The 20,122-nt window shown below is 36.2% G+C and overlaps 1 protein-coding gene across 21 annotated transcripts in view; it reads left to right on the top strand.

The window, feature by feature from the left end:
- Positions 1-20,122, top strand: part of DMXL2 (Dmx like 2) — a 174,981-nt gene that overhangs the window by 137,736 nt on the left and 17,123 nt on the right. For 12 of the 21 annotated variants that reach the window (NR_165649.1, XR_007064435.1, NM_001174116.3 and 9 more), the window contains exons 24-31: positions 3,413-4,494; positions 4,897-5,088; positions 6,689-6,765; positions 8,317-8,447; positions 10,444-10,692; positions 13,635-13,813; positions 18,725-18,852; positions 19,385-19,470. Coding sequence is in view for 18 of the 21 variants with exons in the window: in NM_001174116.3 (NP_001167587.1) it covers positions 3,413-4,494; positions 4,897-5,088; positions 6,689-6,765; positions 8,317-8,447; positions 10,444-10,692; positions 13,635-13,813; positions 18,725-18,852; positions 19,385-19,470 (2,124 nt within the window). In the remaining 3 variants the exon portion in view is untranslated. The remainder of the gene's footprint in view (positions 1-3,412; positions 4,495-4,896; positions 5,089-6,688; positions 6,766-8,316; positions 8,448-10,443; positions 10,693-13,634; positions 13,814-18,724; positions 18,853-19,384; positions 19,471-20,122) is intronic. The other 9 variants (NR_165648.1, NM_001378460.1, NM_001174117.3 and 6 more) reach the window with 2 other exon arrangements.

The raw sequence follows: 20,122 nt of genomic DNA, 5'->3' as shown, positions 1-20,122 counted from the left end.
TGGTTTGCCTGAGTTATTTCAAAAGACCTGTTTTCAAGTTCAGAAATTCTTTCTTCTGCTCGATCTAGTCTGTTGTTGAAGCTCTTGATTATATTTTTTATTTCATTCATTGAATTTTTTAGCTCTAGTATTTCTGTTTGGTTCTTTTGTATGATATCTATCTCCTTGGTGAATTTCAAATTCACATCATGTATTCTTTGCCTGATTTCATTTAGTTGTATATCTGTATTCTTTTGTATCTGAATGAGTTTCCTTAAGACTATGATTTCCTTAAGAATTATTTTTCTGGCATTTCATGTTTCCTTGTGACTAAGGTCTGTTACTGGAGAATTAGTATTTTCCTTTCCATTCTTTTCCTTTGGTGTCATATTTCCTTGCTTTCTCATGGTTGGTGTGTTTCTACATTGATTTCTATGTATCTGGCAGAAAAAGTTGCCTCTTCTAATTTTATGGAGTAGGTTTCATAGGGAAAGACTTGTTACTATGAATAGGTCCTGAGGTGTTGGTTTGGTGGAGTGCATTGGTTAGATGGATACAGTAGTGTAGTCTCCATGTAGCTTCTTCACCTGTAATCCACATTAGTGGCATTTGCAATCCTCTCAGTTGCCTAGGCTGAAAGAGTTTGCGGTGATGGCCATGTAGCTTTGCCAGGTGGGCTCGCTGGGCAGTTTTTCAGGTTGGGGTGCATATGTGCACACAATGGGTCAGCCAGCTTAGGGTCTGGTTGGCTGGGATTGGGGCCACAGGTCTGTTACTCTGGCCAGGAGTGTGGGTACATGGTCACTTGGCCAGCCTGGAGGTGTGCCTGCCAGAAGCAGCCCACAGGGCTCATATGTGGCCTCACGGCTACTCAGCTGGCCTGGGGTTTTGTCTGTTAGGGGTGGGGATAAGGCTATTTCTCAGGCCCATGACACGATTGCATGGCTGCTCAGCTGGCCTGGGGGTGTTTCTGCAGGTGTTGCCCATGGGTTATTTGTATACCTGTGATGCAGGTGCAGGGCTGCTCAGCTGGTCTGGTACTATGTTAGCTGGGGTGGCAGTGAGGCTGCTCCTCAGGCCTGAGGTGTGGGCATAAGGCTGCTCAGCTGGCATGGGGGCGTTTCTGTTAGGGGCTCATGGGGCTATTTCTCAGGTCTGAGACTGGTGCAAGGCTGTTCAGCTGGCTAAGGGGTGTGCACACTGGGAGCAGCCTGCAGGGCTGTTTGACCAGGCTGGGATGTGTCCACCAGGGATAGCCCACAGGGCCGTGGAAGTGGGCTCTTGGCTGCTTGGCTGGCCTGGTGGTGTGCTGCCAGGGGCGGCTCGAAGGACTATTTCTCAGGCGTTGATTGCAGGCGCAGGGCCTTTGGCAGGCCAGAACTCTGAGTGCAGGGAGCAGGGGCGCTGCACGCTGTTTCTGAGGTCCTGAGTGTGGGCATGTAGCTGCTTTGCTGGCCTGGGGGCATATCAGCTGCTCGTAGGCTTGGAGACCTCTCCCATTTGGGGGAGGGTATGTATGTAGTGGTTTGGCTGGCTCAAGGGCAGGTTCACCCTGGGCAAGACTGCCAGATTGTTTCTCTGACCAAAAGTGTGATGGTAGGGGTTGATTTCCCTGCCATGCAGGACCAAAGTCATAGCCAGTCATGGTCCTAGGCTCTGCATAGCTGGGATTGTAGCATTCAGCTACCCATGTAGGCTTGGAATGAAGACGGGTCCCCAGTGTTGGAGAGGTACAGTGACTCCTGGCCCCCAGAGCAGTGCGCATGCCAGAGGTGACTGGTCTCAAGATAGTGCTTGTGCTGCAGCAGCTTGGCTCACTGGCGGTAGGTGGAGGGCACACACCTTATGCTCCTAATCTGGGTCAGTGCCGTTGCGTGAACTTCTGACGTCTCTCCAAACTGGACACAGGGCTTGCAAGTACTATGGGATTCTTCTGTTGTAAGGACTGTAGATGTTTGTGGTGGCCATGAGGGCTGATGGGGATCTTCTGTTTACCTTTTCCCCTCTGCAATGAGAAGTTCTTCCTGACTGTGGGCAGATCCAGTCTGGGTGGGGGAGATAGGGCTGCAGAGGCCGGGTACCTCCACACTGCTCTCCTAGACTTGCAGTCACCACAGGTGCATCTCCACTCCCCTGCTGCACTCTAGTGCTCTCCCTTTGACACTCCAGTCAAATCTTAGCTGTTTATTCATTGCCTTGGTCCTTTCTTTTCGGAGGATGAATGCCAGGTGTGTCTAGCAGCCATCTTGCTGGCATCATTCTCTTGGTTTATTTTTATGGATGCTCAGATTGTTCTTTCACAAATGGGAACTTCTTCAGGTTTCTGAATTCTTCTGGCATTATTTCTTGATAGTTTTCTTGCTTTCTGGTACTACAAAATGTTTAAGGGTCATCTTGTACATTTCCTGCCCCAGACCTGGAAATGACCATTCCTCCAAAGCATTCTGCTTCCTTTTAGTGGGGAATAATATTTAGAAACTATAGTTTGGGCACCAGGATCCTCATTGGTACTAATCTTGTCATAATTTCTAGACTATTGCAATGAATGGAATTAGGAAATTTTTTTTCCTTAGAATTTAGGAGTTTACCCTGCTATTTCTCATGCACATATAGATTATAGGGTTCTTTCTTCTTAGATGTTAAGTTTGTGTCTTATAATGAAATGTTTGGATTCTCATGGCATGAACATAGTTATTTGCTATCTATGTGCATATAAGTTTCAGAATAATAATATAGATATTTTTATAATAACATGATTCTGAACATAATTTAAGCTTTTTTGCAGAATTTTTTTGTTTTATGGTACATTCTGCTAAGGATGTACAGTCAAATTACTTGTTTTTAACTCACTTTTTAGAGTTCATCTCTGTGTGATTATGCTACCAACTTGATAGACTGATTTGTTTAATTTTGCCTTTTGTGAATTGTGGTTTAGATTTGGTTTTATTTTAAAATTATGTAAAATGTTGACATGGTGTTAAAATAAAATATATAAAACCAGTGTATTTTCAGAGAAATCTAGCTCTTTTTTTCCCTGTTTTGCTCTCCCCTTTTAAGGAATCAATTAAAATTTTTTGTGTTTGTCTTCCATTTAAAAATGATAAGCCAATATGCATGAGTGTGTATTTGTATTTCCTCTTCACTGTCTTAGATAGATAAAAGGTAGCTTACTACATGTACTTTCTGCATCTTCTTTTTCTTAGTGTATCCTGGACATCACTCTATAGTGATGGGAATCACTCCGTAGCATATTGGGAAATTCTTTCTATTTCAGCTGTACAGTTGTAATGATTGTATATGCCATAGTGTAACCTATCGTAGGTTAATATTTACATGTTGTTTTTTTGAAGAAATGCTGACGTATTTTATTGTTTTGTAATGTAAATACATATTAACACAATGCTTTGTGATTTTATCTGTTTGATTTCTATAGTTATCATCAAGTCTTGTAACCCGGTGGCATTTAGTTTTTATAACTACCTTCGAACTCATCCTTTGCTCATTCGAAGAAATCTTGCCTCCCCTGAAGGAACTTTGGCAACCTTAGGTCTCAAAACTGAGAAGAACTTTGTTGATAAAATTAACCTCATAGAAAGAAAATTATTCTTTACCACTGCAAATGCTCATTTTAAAGTTGGATGCCCTGTTTTAGCCTTGGAGGTACTCTCCAAAATTCCAAAAGTAACCAAAACATCTGCCTTATCTGCAAAAAAAGATCAGCCTGACTTCATTTCTCACAGGATGGATGATGTACCTTCACATTCAAAAGCTCTGAGTGATGGCAATGGAAGTTCTGGCATTGAATGGTCAAATGTAACTTCATCACAGTATGACTGGAGTCAGCCAATAGTAAAAGTTGATGAGGAACCTCTTAATCTTGATTGGGGTGAAGATCACGACAGTGCCTTAGATGAAGAGGAAGACGATGCTGTTGGTTTAGTGATGAAAAGTACAGATGCCAGGGAAAAAGATAAACAATCAGATCAGAAGGCCTCAGACCCTAACATGTTATTAACACCTCAGGAAGAGGATGATCCTGAAGGTGATACTGAAGTTGATGTGATTGCTGAACAACTAAAATTCAGAGCTTGTTTAAAGATCCTTATGACTGAATTAAGAACATTGGCTACAGGTTATGAAGTAGATGGAGGAAAACTCAGATTTCAACTCTATAACTGGCTTGAAAAGGAAATTGCTGCCTTGCATGAGATATGTAATCATGAATCAGTTATTAAAGAGTATTCCAGTAAGACATATTCCAAAGTAGAGAGTGATCTGCTGGATCAGGAAGAAATGGTAGACAAACCAGATATTGGTTCCTATGAGCGCCATCAAATAGAAAGAAGAAGATTGCAGGCCAAACGAGAGCATGCAGAAAGACGAAAGTCGTGGTTGCAGAAAAACCAAGATCTCCTGAGAGTATTTCTCAGCTACTGTAGCCTTCATGGGGCCCAAGGTGGTGGTTTGGCTTCAGTAAGGATGGAACTCAAATTTTTGCTACAAGAATCACAACAGGTGTGAATATCACTTTTTTTTCAATCTTGGTTATTTCAGTAATTTCAGTAGCTCTTCCAGTTATAGCTATAAAGCTCTTTTACTACTTTTTACTAGTTAATCTAAATATGTTCAGCTCCTCTCTTTATAGGAGGCAGATATTTATACTCTATGTGTCTTAGACTGAAGTTTTGATAATAAGGAGTAGGCTTAACAGCTTGAGAGTATTCTTGTGTCATATTTATCTATATACCATCTACATCTAGCATAGTACCTGGTACATACTGGGTGCTCAATAAATTTGTGTAGAATGAGTGAGCGAACATATTCCCTTTACACAATGTTTATCACCAGTATTTCTGTCAGAGAACTGATAAAATTTTTTAAACTACTTTGAAAAAAATAATTCACTATCACCCACAGGAAACTACAGTAAAGCAGCTCCAGTCTCCACTACCACTGCCTACCACCCTACCTCTGCTTTCAGCAAGTATTGCGTCAACAAAAACAGTCATAGCTAATCCTGTATTGTACTTAAATAATCACATCCATGATATACTTTATACTATTGTTCAGATGAAAACACCACCTCATCCCAGTATTGAAGATGTGAAGGTAATGTAAAGTTTATGATCATTTGATATTATACACCCTGAGAAGGTAAATATGTTATACCTGTCTTTTAATTCGAACTTAGGGGAAATATTTCAAAGTGCTACCTTTCTCACTCATGATCAGTTCAAGACTATTAGTCCAATGAATGTAATTTAAAAGTAAGTGTTCTTACTTCTGGAGAAGTTATTGTCTTCCTTTAAGACAGACAAATACTTTTGGCAATAAAACTAATTTTCTTGACAGTATTCTTGCTACTTAATATCCCTTTAGATCCTCCATTCCCCTTAAATGAACCATTAAGTTGGAAATATGACTATTTGTTTACATGCCAAGATATTATGAAAATACAAGTTGGGGAGTATCTGGGAGGGAAGCATGACTGGTCACAAATGGTCCCAGAGAGAGTGTCCTTATTACTGTTTCCTTGGTGGTTGTGTTTATTGGAGGCAATAGTTAGAGGCAATCAGAGTTTTGGCAGTTACTACTGCGAACTATATTGATACCCTGTGCTAAGATCTTAAAAACTGATACAGTCCAAGAAACACTAGGGAGCTTGGCAGGATCTGGGGAGCTAGCTGATCAGACTTTTCACTGTCCCAGCCTGAGTGTATTTGTGCTATGCTTTTTCCAGTTCTACTGGCTGATGCACAATTCAGGTCCCCTGTTTTCTTATTTTTTATTTGTTTTGTTTGACAGGCACATTTACTCTCTGGCAGCACATTCTTCTAAAGGCCTGGTCATAACCAATTAGGGACTTCTCATCCATATTATGAATTAACCTGTATTAGTATTTTAGCAGAGATTATTTAAATCATTTGTTAGGTGAATAGGGACACGCAGAAAAGGCATAAAAAGCATATGAATTCAAAGTAAACATTTCTAGTTCCTAGACATTTGGATAAGGCTTTCAAAGAGTAATCTGTATAAGGTATGAAACTGTTTCTAAGGTCCCTTCAAATTTAAAGATTTTGTGAGTCTGAAAATATTGATTCAGTATAGCATTTCAGGGTGGTGGGTTTTTTTTTAATTATATGGAGAAATTTAAAACTTTCTAAATGTAAAATTCTAAGACTGTCCTCAATTCATGAGTACCAAGTAAATTACTTTCTGGAAAATCTGCTGTTTCACACAGTGATTGACACATTTACTAAAAAGATTTAATTCATTTTCATTGATAAGATTAAGTGTTTATTTTCATCAAGGCGAATTTCGTGAGGCAAGCTTAAATAAAAACTCTGAAAATTCTATTCTTATTTTCTTCTGCTTTTTTTTAAATATTACTATTTAAGCTAATTGTTAGGGTAGGACAAATGCCTGTAATATGAACATTAGCACTTTGCTCAGGGCCTCGTAAACGGCAGGCTCACAGTAAGTAACTGTTTGATTAAAATGTGTCTGAAACAATCAGCTTTATTGTGGCATGTGTATAAAGGTGGGTGACAGTTACTTTAGAAGATTTAAAGCAGAGTTAGTAGTCTCATCTAGGATTCAGTCTTATTTATGATGTTGCTAGGTTTCCTGGATGTTTTCTAATTTTTGAAATATTACTGTTGTGTAGAAATGTTAGTACAAAATGTAATTGTGACTGTTTTGGTTTTAGGTGCACACACTTCATTCACTAGCAGCATCACTTTCTGCATCAATTTACCAAGCATTATGTGACAGTCATAGCTACAGGTAAAAAAAAATCACCCAAAATAGTATTAATACAGCAAAAACATTAAACTGTTCCAGAGTTATATTAAGTTTCTATTTCCTAGGGACTGAAAAATCCCTAAATATGACAGCCATGATATTTTAATACATGCGAGAGAATCAGAAATAAAATAATTATTTGTTTAGTTGTCACCTAGTAGTCACAGAGAAATATAGAAAGTAACAAATAGTAAATGTAAATTACCATCATTACCATCCTTTTTGTTTTTAAGAAAGAAGAGTTTACTGTCCATAATAACTTATAATATGAAATTTTCTAATTGTTTTTCCTTAGAAACAATTTCTTTTTGCATTGGATTAGCAGCTATTTAACTAATTATCCATTGAAATAAAAAATACTTTTGAAAAATGAAAAAGTACATTCCTAAAATGGAATTATTTAAATTACTTTTACCTACCCATTTACATATGATGTAAAAGTCTTTGGAAGTGATATCAATTAGAAGAAATGGATTGAATTTTTCTAAATGTATAATTGCCTTCATTAGTGTGTACTTTGCATTTTAATGACTAGAGCAATGTAAGTAGCAGGAAATTGAATCACTTGGAAAGATAACCTAGATTTAAATGAATAATGTTAATAAATGAAAAGTTTATAATAGTAGATTCACATTAAATTGATATTAAATATATTTCTGGCTTTCTTTCTTGTAATGGTAGCAGCCTTTTGTGGGAACATTTGGTATCAAGTAAAGAATTATCTATCAAAATGGCCTGTACTCTGATTGTAACTTAATTAGGCTGTGTCTAAATAACTCCAAAGATTGGAAATGTAAATAAGGAAAAAAGTTGATTTAGTTGACTGTTGTCATCTAAATGATCAAAGATAACTTGTTTGATGTCAGTCACCATTAAAATGGCACCAAATGAAAATGCAAATACATTGTTTTTAAATATATATTTTCCAGTTGGTCGGCTATGATTTACTAGACTCAGCTTGACTTTCCGCTTTTATATTTTCCCCAACTTCACAAAGATAGCCATTATAGAGAGGGAAGTAAATATTATTAAATAATATTTAGGGACATTTGGTTTTAGGTTTAGGTATTTCTAAAATGTGATTCTCTGGGTTTTAGTTCATAACTTTAATTTAGGGTTAAACTTGCACAACTTTGCAGAGAAAAGAAATGCAACCTACTAGTCCCTGAAACTTTCTGCCTACTGTATCCTAGTACCAGCAGTAGTCTCCTTACCTCAGACTTTGTAAAAACACAAAATAAAAATTACTGCAAATAGAAAAGATTTTAAAGTATTAAAGTGGCATCTGGAAAAAATTCTAAAGGAATAAGTGTCATCTGCCCAACATAATAAAATTTGTTACTTTGTTTAAAAGAAACAATAAGCATTTGTAACTAATTTCAGTAATTTTCTAAAATAAATTTTTATTAGAACAGTGAATGCATTTTAAGAATTTTTGTTTCTTAAAATAGGTGTCTAAAATAGATGATATACATAAAGTGCAATTTTTTATTACCTCTCAGGATGATAAATAACTGAACCTATTTGTTTTAGCAGTCAAACAGAAGGAAATCAGTTTACAGGAATGGCTTATCAAGGACTTCTTTTAAGTGATCGTAGAAGACTAAGGACAGAAAGCATTGAAGAACACGCAACACCAAATTCATCTCCTGCTCAATGGCCTGGTGAGAATTTAAATGATTAAAAAAAAAAAATCTTCTAGTTGGCAATTTCTTCCTAAAAGCCTACTGACCAGTTTCCTGCTTGTTGCTGGATTTAGTGAGTGGTTCCTTTCTTTCTTTGTTTTTTGATGATGTTTTTCTGCTATGGATTAGGAACTATTAAGTACTGCAATATTGTCTGAAGACTCAGGAAGTTAAGGCTTCATAAAACCAGCTATGTTAACCAACATAAAAAAGCAATGTCTTAACATCCTTCATAAGGATGGAGCACATTATCTTTCTTAGAAATGTTAAATTAGAGTCTTAGAAAATCACAGACATATTTTCACAGACATACCATAGAAAATACAGTTAGTTGTTCTCGGGCGTGTAAATTTATGTATTGGGGTAGGAGTGACTATTCTGTGGTACATATATCATGCTGTCTGACAGTCCTTTTTTTCTTGTTGGCTCTCTTTCTCATTCTCTACATCAGTTGTTTCAAAACTTCTCCACTCTCTTCAATATCCTAAGTGTATATTTCAGATTACTGTAACCATTGCCTTGTAGAAACACATTGTTTTCATTTTAACCTCTTATTTCAAAATAATTTCAGACTTGCAAAAAATTGCAAACATAATACTAAATTTCACCCAGATTCCCCAAATGTTAACATTTTACCATGCTTGCTTTGTCATTCATTTCTTCTCTCTCACTCACTTGCTGTTTGTGTATCTAAGTGTATTTTTTTTGAAAAATTTGAGAGTAAGTTGCAGACCAGATATCCCTTTCCATCTAAACATTTCAATGTGTGTTTCCTATAAACAGACATTCTCACATAATTATCCAATTTAACATTTATGTTCTCTAATCTACAGACCTTTTTTGAATTTTGCCAGTTGTCCCACTAATGTGCTTTTGGGGGCCCATATGTAACATTTAGTTGTCATGTCTCATTAGTCTCCTCTTATATTGAGTAAAGTCTTCCTTCTTTCTCTTTCACAACTTTGACACTTTTGAAGAGTACCAGCCAGTTGTTTTTTTAAGTGTCCCTCAATTTGGGCATTTCTGATTTTTTTTCTATCTTTCCTTATGTTTATTTATTTTATTTTATTTTTTGAGACAGAGTCTTGCTCTGTCGCCCAGGCTGGAGTGCAGTGGCGCAATCTCGGCTCACTGCAACTTCCGCCTCCTGGGTTCAAGCAATTCTCCTGTCTCAGCCTCCTGAGTAGCTGGGACTATAGACGCATAACACCATGACCGGCTAATTATTTTGTATTTTTAGTAAAGACAGGGTTTCACCATATTGGTCAGGCTGGTCTCGAACTCCTGACCTCAGGTGATCCACCTGTCTTGGCCTCCCAAAGTGCTGGGATTACAGGTGTGAGCCACCGTGCCCAGCCCTGATTTTTTTCTTAATGTTGGATTCAGGTTACGTATTTTTTGGCAGGGATACCACAAAAAAGATGTGTCTTTCTCAGTAGGAGATATCAAGAGGCATATGATGTCATTTGGCCCCAGCTGCTGTTAACTTTGATCACTTGTTAAGGTGGTTTCTGCCAAGTTTCTCCATTGTAAAGTTACTTTTTTTTTCCTTTGTAATTAATCAGTATCTTGTGAAGAGTTAGTTTGAGACTGTGTAAAATATTATACTTTCACTTGCTAATTTTAGCATCTAGTGATGATTTTTGCCTGAATCAGGTATTACTGTGGGGTTACTAGCTGGTGATTTTCTAACACTATCACTCATTTTATGTATTAGTTGAAATTGTACTTTAAGGAAGAGCTTCCCCTTCTTACCTTTTGTTTATCTACTCATTTATTATATCAGTGTAGACAAATGGATGATTTTATTCTATAGGCTATAATCCATTCCTATCTTGTTTATTTTGTTGCTCAAATTATGGAAATATTTTGTAAAATATAAATGCATAATTTTGGATAAGTTGCAAATTTGGATGTTTTTTCCTTCTGGTGCTTCATCCTGACATACGTCTTATGATTTTATATACCCTTATAGGTGTGAGCTCACTTATTAATCTTTTGAGTTCAGCCCAAGATGAAGACCAGCCAAAACTGAACATTTTGCTATGTGAAGCTGTTGTTGCTGTTTACTTAAGTTTATTGATACATGCTCTTGCCACAAATTCCTCCAGTGAATTATTTCGGCTTGCAGCCCACCCATTAAATAATCGAATGTGGGCTGCTGTTTTTGGAGGCGGTGTAAAACTTGTTGTGAAACCTCGAAGACAATCAGAAAATATTTCAGGTAAGATACGTTTGATACCAGTAATGTATGTAAATGTTAATCATTTTGAATGTTAAAATTTTTTTTAATGTTTCAAGAAATTTCACTTTGAAAATAAGCGATGCTTAAAGTATAATCACTCTTGTTATGACAGCAAATAATTAAACCCATGATATAATAAACATATAGTTTGTTACTTTTATTTTTATAGAAATAACATTTTTGAGGTTGATAAAGCAGGACATGTTTGAAGAAGATTAAAAATAGAGGAAAGGTAAAGGTAAATACAGAAAAAATGTTAAGGAACAAAGTCATACAAAAAGAGTAGTTCCTAAGACAATAAAATGAAAAAAAAAAAGCAAAAACAAAACGGATAGTTCTTAATTACAGAAAGAAGAAAATTTAAGTAAGTGTTCAAAATCTTTAGCGCATACCAGCAGTTGGCTTCAGATTAAATGTATGGTCATGTGCAAGATAGCCATTCCAATCATACACACAGTTTTTAAATTCTATTTTTTTATTCTCCAAAATAGGTTCCTTTAGTCTTCAATGTGATAGTATTATTCCATTTTCCTTGTGTGTTTCTTCTTCCCTCATGGCCAGAATATATTTTTCATCCCACTTTTGAAAATGGTATGATATGGTGAGGTATAGACTGATGCCGCAGGAAAGATTTCTATCTTGATGCTGATATATAGAAATCATCTTAATTCATCCTTAGAAATGGACATATTACAGATGAGAAATCAGTGGCACACAAGTTTAATGACACTAACCTCTGTCTTCATTGTCTGTGATTGAGTTAAATAAATAGGTTCCTGTGTAAGTCATTGTAAGGGAGATGATCTTATCAACTCCCACTGCTTCCATTCCCATCAAATGTGGATATCTGAATCTCTTTCTTGCTGCTTGGTTATAGTCCACTTTAAACTTAAAAGTTTTTCTCCAAAATTGTTTATTTCTCTGCCTGAGTTTTCTGATTTTTTGTTCATGGTAATTTATCCATCAAATCATCCATGCTTAAAACCTGCCAGTACATATTAATATTTGCATTAATTTATTCACTTAACACCTATCAGGCAATTAACAAAGATATTTCAGGTAATGATAAGAACTGTGATAAAAATGGAGTAAGTGGAAAGACGGTGATGAGGGAATGGGAATGGACCAGTTTAGTTAAGGTGGTTGGAAGACATATTTCTGATGAGATAGCATTTGAGGAGAGCTGTAAGGAAGTTGGGAATCACACCATGTGGATATCTGAGACCAGAGCATTCCAGGCAGATGAATGCAAAGGTCCTGAGGTAGAATTGAGTTTGGCCTTTTCCAAGAACTACCCAGGGACCATCATGGCTGTCATGAAGAGGGAGTGTTGTAGGAGATGAGAATAGAAGAGTAGCTGGGGCAAGTTCCTTTAGGATCATGGTAAAAGCGTTAGTTGTTCTAAAGAGAGGAGGTGACAGAATCTGATTCAGCTTTTCAACAGAACCGCTCTAGCTGCTTTGTGGAGAATAGACTGGGTAACATAAATAAGAGTAGGGAGGCTGGTGGTAGGGAGGCTAGTTCACTTAAAAGATAATTGTGGGTTACCATCAAGGATGAAAGGATCAACAAAGTGTGGTATATTCGTGCAATGGAGTGTTACTCAGCTATAAAAGGAATGAAGTACTAATGCATACTATAATCTGTATGAACTTCAAAAATAGGCTAAGCCAAAGAAGCCAGACACAAAAAGTCTCATATTGTCTGGCTCCATTTATATGAAATATCCTGAATAGGTAAATCCATAGAGACAGAAAGTAGACTGTGGTTGCCATGGGCTAGGGGGAGGGAGAAATAAGGAGTGACTGCTTATTTGGTATAGTGTTTCCTTTTGGGGTGAGGAGAATGCTTTGAAACTAGATAGAGGTGGTGGTTGCATGACATGTTAAATGTACTAAATATCACTGAATTGTACACTTTAAAATTGTTAATTTTATTTTATGTAAAATTTGCCTCAATTAAAAAGAAATAATAGTGGTTCATCCTAGGGTGTTAGTTATGGTCAGAGTGAAAAGTGATCATATTCTGGGTATAGTTTGAGGTTAGAGCCAATGGATTTGTTGATGAATTGTGTCTGGGGTAGGGAAGATAGAAGAGTTGAGATAAAATTATTTTCTGTGATGGGGAGGTTTAGGAGAGGAGCAGGTTGACTTCTACTTTCTGGCCCTCCCATACCCAATTCCTGAATCCTTTTGCTATTTCTTTTGTGTATCACTCATATACAACCCTTCCTCTACTTTTTACCACCCACCATATTAGTGCAGGCTGTTCTTATGTCATCTTCCATCTTCCTCTCTAATTGATCAGACAAGCCATACCTCATTGTGTGACTAAAACTTAAGAGGTGTTAGTGAGAATTGCCCAAAACATAAGTTCCCAGGTTCATAGCCACAGACTTGTCCTAACCTAACTCTAGACTGTTGTTGATATTACTTCCCTCCATGACTCCTGTCTACCAAAAGTAATTTACTCCTCATTTACCCAAACCTTCTTTGATTATTTGTTTATATTGTCCTTTTCCATTTTCCCATTGAACTTCTGCCCTTCTTTTAAGGCACACTATTAAATTCTACATATTCAGTGAATCTTTCTTGAACCTCATAGCCAGGGATAATCAGTCAATCACTCACTTTAATATTTATTGAATATACCACTTATTTAGTGTATTTTATATAGAATTACTTTAATCCTTATTTTAGGGAGCACATGGCAAGATAGGCTTTAATGCTTTATCTCCATCTGTATCTCTGCCATGACTGCTGGAAAGCTGATTCAGTAACTAGAAAAGTTTAGAAGCACAGGAATAAGTAATTTAGTTTAGACCAAAACATGGCAAGAGTAGGATAAAAAGAAAGCTTAACTCTATCAATTAACAATGGAAAATGAATGCTAGATTTTTTTTTCCTTCTATCTTCATTTAGCACCTCCTGTCCTTTCTGAAGACATAGATAAACACCGTAGGAGATTTAACATGAGAATGCTCGTCCCTGGAAGGCCTGTAAAAGATGCTACCCCACCACCGGTGCCTGCAGAAAGACCATCTTACAAAGAAAAATTTATTCCTCCCGAACTTAGTATGTGGGATTATTTTGTTGCAAAGGTAAGGAGTGTGAGGAATGCAAGCTTTAAGAGAAGTCTATCATCTATTTTATTAACTCTTGCATGTGTCTCACATAGGAATGATGGGGTAGCTTTTGGATTGAATCACCATAGTTTAGACGTTTAATTTATTAAGTCCAGAAACTGAATAGTCATAGTAAATTCGAGGATGATCAGTTACCTGATGATGTAGGAGACAAATTAAAATCACATGGGAGTTATGTATAAATTAGAAGTCAGCTTATTACATAATCAGCACCATCTTTTTCGAGTGACTGGAATACTTGTATCTACCACCTAGACACCCCTCTTCTAATTATCAGTGGCTCCCTTGGTAAGCATGGAATTAGAATAGAAGGAGATGGATGGACATTTGGCGGTTTTATCAGGCCATGATGAGGCCCCATGATACATCTCTGTTTTCCCAGCGCAAAGGAAACTTCTCAGGGGATCAGAATACTCATGGTGACTAGATCTGGTATAGCCCCATTTCATACCATGCTGGGTGCATGCTAATGTTTGCTTTTCTGCACTTTGCTCTTTTGAGCTCATGATTCTCCTTCTGTTGGTATGTTTCCCTCTTTACATGTGTTAACTCTGTTGTTACCTTGCTGTGCATACACATGAGGGAATACATCTCCAGAGTCATGCCTCTTCCCATTTTTAGATTTTTATTAGATCTCAGAGTTATTGAGGCGCTGATCCCGCTCCGTTTTTTTGTATGCTAAGCTGATCCTTAAAAAGTCTTTCAACATGAGTTTGGAAGCTTTGTTTTGTTATCTAAAGACTCTGAGGCCAGGTGCAGTGGCTCATACCTGTAACCTCAGCACTTTGGGAGGTTGAGGTGGAAGGATTGCTTACATCCAGGAGTTTGAGACCAGCCTGGACAACATAGACCATGTCTCTGCCAAAAAAATTTTAAAACGTAGGTGCAGTGCTGTTTGCCTGTAGTTCTAGCTGCTTGAAAGGCTGAGGTGAGAGGATTGCTTGAGTCCAGGAGGTCAGCGTGGCAGTGAGCCATGATTGTGCCACTGCACACCAGCCTGGGTGTCGGACTGAGACAGTGTCTCAAAAAAAAAGACTTTGGTTACGTCAGTGGTTCTCAAAGTGTGGTCTCAGAACCGGCAGCATCGGCATTCCTTGGGAACTTGTTTGAAATGCAGATTCTTGGGTCTTCCCTCAGACCCCTCAATCAGAAACTCTGGGAGTGAGAACCAACAATCTATGTCTTAACAAGCTCTCCAGATGGTTCTAATGTGTGCTGAAGTTTGAGAACTATGAGCTTAGGCACATTGTGAGTGCAGATTTCCAGGTTTACACTCTATCAGGGTCCGAGTTATACTTCCAGAGTCATTCTGGCCTATCCCTTAAGGCTGCCAATTGAGTTGCACTTAGTTGTATTTAGCTAATAAACCAGGGAAATAATAAAGTACTCTTAAAAATGTATAGGCAGTTCCCACTCCTACCTTTTTAAAATTTTTATTTGCCACGAATGAAAGCTCATTGCATCATTAATGTGAGTGATAACAACATTAAGATTTGTAAATGGTAATGTGCTAAATTTTTGTTTTTCAAAAATGTTTCCTCCTGATATATGTTCTGAAAATTTGGAAAATGCAAAATATTATAAAGAAGGGAAATAGCACTCATCTGTGCAACAAAGATAACTGTTACCATTGTGGCCAATTTACTATTAATCTTTTTTCCTCAGATTAAAAAAATGTATAATTGGATCAGTATATGTAGTTTTTTTTCTGTTAACATTAACAAGGTAAACAGTTTTTATGCCATTAAAAACTTATATAGCTGTCATTTTAAAAACTTCAGTGTAGAAAACTTCCAACATACACAAAAGGAGAGATAATAGCATATGAATCTTTTATCTACCATCATGTAGCTTCAAAAATTATCTACTCATGGACAGTCTTGTTTCATTTATACCTCTCCCCACTACTTTGTTTGGAAGCAAATCCAAACATCATGAAATTTCATTCAAAAATATTTCATTATTTATTTTTGAAAAAAAAAAAGGATTTTAAATAGATCTACATTAGTGTTACACCCACAGAAGCACACCCACAATTCTTTAATATTATCACATATTCAGACAGTATTCACATTTCACCAGTTGCATCTTAAATGTTTTTATATAGTTGATTTGTTCAAATCAGGATCTAAAATATGATTCATACCTTGCAAGTGGTTGCTATATCTTCAGTCTCTTTTAATCTATAGGCTCCACCTCTCTCTCTCTCTCTCTCTCTTTTTTTAACTTAACTCCCACCTTTTTCGTTTGCCCTGAAAGAATTTTGACCTTTAGAATTTTTCAATGGATTTTGCTGATGGCATCACCATATTTTGTTCCTCTGAATCTTGTCAAGTGAAAATTAAATCCAATTTCATTCTGATTGGATAGGAAGAGGGAGTACAGGATTAACTTCATAGGTGGTTTTGTATATTTCTGTCAGGAAGCTTTTTATGATTTTAGTTGATCTTTGCCTACATTTATTATTTCAGTGAAAGTTTTAAATTATGATAATATAATCCTGTCATTCATTTTTCATGTATTTGCTGGAATGTCTCTTCATCAACCTATTCAATTACCCTGAAGTACATTTTGAGTCGGAAAGACAGGATAAATGCTTTATTCTTTTGCTTTTGTGTACCAGTTTTCAAAATGATGAGTTGGTTCCCAAGCATCCTTCAGAGGAGGCCAGTGAGTTTTGTTTTGCTTTCAGCTTTGTTATGAACTTATAGATTTAAACATATTTTATATGTTTTAATCTATTGCAGTTATTTTTTTCTCATGGGGACTCAGATTATCCATCTTTGCCAGTGAGAGCCTCTTCCACAATTGGCTCCGAATCTTTTTGAGATTATTCCACTAGTGTTTGAGTTTGCCTGCTTTCTAGTTTTATTCTAGGCTAATCATGTATATTTCCTGCCCGTGACTGAGAACAATCACTTTTTTGAAATAACCTGGTTCCTTTTTGTGAGAAATTATATTTAGAAACTACAGACAGATGCTGGGGTGCTCGCTCTTACTTGGTTGATCATTGTTTCTAGATAAGCATCAATTATAGTGACCATGTAACTTTTCACTTTGTTAGTGATTTGATGTTTAAAATGCCAAGAATAGTATCTTTTAAAATATGTCTTGTTCATGAGCAGATTATTTCCTTAAGAAGTACTAGGTCAGGCCCGGCATGGTGGCTCACGCCTGTAATCCCAGCACTTTGGGAGGCCAAGGTGGGCAGATCATGAGGTCAGGAGATTGGGACCATCCTGGCTAACACGGTGAAACCCCGTCTCTACTAAAAATACAAAAAATTAGCCGGGCGTGGTGGCAGGTGCCTGTAGTCCCAGCTACTCGGGAGGCTGAGGCAGGAGAATGGCGTGAACCCGGGAGGCGGAGCTTGCAGTGAGCCAAGATCGTGCCACTGCGCTCTAGCCTGGGCAACAGAGTGAGACTCCGTCTCAAAAAAAAAAAAAAAGAAGTACTAGGTCCAAGGCTATAAACTTAAATAAGGCTTTTAATACATATTGCCAGATTATTTTCCACATTACTAATTTGTACTCTCTTGAGAATAGTGAGAGGATGCATCTAACTTTACCCCCTTATTAGCATTAAGTATTCCTTTTTCATTTTTGTTAATTTGATAGATTAAATGATTTTTATTTTCTGTTAGTGACATTAAAATTTTAATGATCTTATTGCCATTTGATTTTCCAGTTTGAGGTATTGACTGTTCATATTCTTACCTAAATTATCTGTTGAGATTATGGTATTTTTCCTTTTTCTGGATACTTTATCTAGAGATATTATTAATTTATCTTGTTAAGCTTTTTCTAGTTTATTTGCTTTAAAATTTTGTTTATTATGCATTTGAAGTTTTAAAAAGTTTATCATGCACAGAAATTTTAAAAAGTTTAAAAATTAGATCTATCCATACATTTCCTTATTGATTACATTGTTTTTCAGCAGAAGTCTTTTCCACTAATAAATGTGTACATTTATTTTACCTTCCTTCTCTGTTTCCTCCTGTTCTTTTTCTTTCTCCTCCTCCTTAACTTTTAATTCTCTTATTTATCTAGAATAAAGTGAGGAACAGACTGGATCAGACTTCATCTCCCATTCCCACACTTAGCTAACTAGTTGTTCCATTATTATTTATTAAATAATCTTTCTTTTTCTCCCACTGACTTAAGATGTTACCTTTGTCAGATTAACTTCTTATACGTGTATGATTTTTGTATTATATTTTTGCATCAATCTAGACTACATTTTTCTTACTTAGTTTAATATCCACTAAAAAAAATGGGATTTTTTTTATTTAAAAAAAATTCCCCAGCTAATCTCATCTATTTTTTCTTCTCTACGAACTTCAGAATCATTTTAAAGTTCCAAAACAGGAAGAGAAATTCACAGGGAGATTTTTATTGAAATTACTTAAAGCCTGTGTAAATTAACTTATAAAGAATTACAGTTTTTACACATTTCAGTCCTTCCCTTCATATAATTTTATAAAGATTTATAATTTCCTTCACAATAGCTCTCTCACAGCTTTCATAGTTTGTCCTTTTGTATTTCTTTAGACTTTTCTAACTATTTATTGCTGATCTATAAGAAGAAAACTATTGATTAAAAAAAATTTCACATCTAGCTATTCAGTTATTGAATATGAGAGTTTTACCTTGTCATCTTGACTTTTGTAGATGTAGCATTATCTGCAAAAGAAAATTTTTACTTATGCTGACACCATTTAAAATGTTTACTTTTATGTTAGAACAAAAATAATTATATACTAAAAATATTTTCTATATTAAATATATAATACATGTTATATAAAATATATTTTATATGTTTATGAAATTATAATCTTTAAAAAAATAATTTTACCTTTTATTGCAGCCATTTCTTCCTTTGTCTGATAGTGGTGTTATATATGATTCTGATGAAAGCATTCATAGTGATGAAGAAGATGATGCCTTTTTTTCAGATACACAAATACAGGAGCACCAAGATCCAAATTCCTATAGGTAAATAAGACTTTTCTTTCTCTCATTTTTTTTTTGGCTTTTCTTTTTGTAGAAAATATCAATGTTATTAATTTTAAATAACATTATTATCCTGAATTTATATAAGAAATGACTTATGTTTCCAGGTTACAAATTCTACACCTTTGAGGTCAATGTCTACATAGTGTTTTCTCCACCTCCAAAGACTAGCTTTTATGGAGAGTGCAAACACAAGCATCTTTAGTGAGGAAAAAATATGTAACTCATGGATATACTATTAGAGTTTAATATATAAATTATTGGTATACTATTAGGTTTCATGTGACTATGTGGTTAATCTTTTTCCACGAGGTAATTTTCAGCAAGTGTAATATAGTATTGCAAGTTTTTTGTATTCAGTGACCACAGAGGTGCCATTTTTGCATAGTAAATTTCAATGACAGCTTTTTTTCTGGGTTGGAGAGTGGGCTAAACAGTTGGCAGGGAACACCACTCTGTTTCTCCCATGATTTTATTTTTCACTTAAAGACTCTTTTTGCCCCTCCTTGAACAGCTGGGCTCTTCTACATTTGACAATGGTTAAACTAGCACTTCACAATGTCAAGAATTTCTTTCCTATTGCTGGACTGGAATTCTCTGGTGAGTTTGGAATTTAAAAATTAATGTTATTAAGTATAATAAATTGCCGTCAAGTTTCTCTTTACAAAATCTATATATAAGGTCATTTGGTACTTAAAAAATAGTGCATTAGATATTTTATAAAGTCTTGTTTATTTTAGGCTCCAATCTGTGACTTTATTTTTATTTTTTTAGATAGAGTCTCGCTCTGTTGCCCAGACTGTAGTGCAGTGGTGTGATCAGAGCTCACTGCAAACTCCGCCTCGTAGGCTCAAGCCATCCTCCCACCTCAGTCTCCTGAGTAGCTGGGACTATAGATGTGCTACCATGCTGGGCTAATTTTTGTATTTTTTGTAAGAGACAAAGTTACATCATGTTACCCAGGCTGGTCTTGAACTCCTGGGCTCAAACGATCCACCTGCCTTGGCCTCCTAAAGTGCTGAGATTACAAGTGTGAGCCACCACACCTGGCTTCAGTCTAATACTTTAGTTTATATCAAGAATCACTCTCTACACAGAAGATTGAGAAAGAGCAGAAACCCACTTCTGTTTTGTTGAAAGCATTAAGAATCTAAACTGTATTACATTAACATTTGCAGATTTATTTGTATTTTCAGAAGTATTATCTCTGAGAATTCAGATTCTATAAATATTTGGGTGATGATCGATATTT

Source organism: Homo sapiens, chromosome 15 (assembly GCF_000001405.40).
Source record: "Homo sapiens chromosome 15, GRCh38.p14 Primary Assembly".
Lineage (NCBI taxonomy): Eukaryota > Metazoa > Chordata > Mammalia > Primates > Hominidae > Homo > Homo sapiens.
The sequence above is the reverse complement of the archived record's forward strand: the minus strand, read 5'-3'. Positions and strand labels throughout refer to the sequence as shown.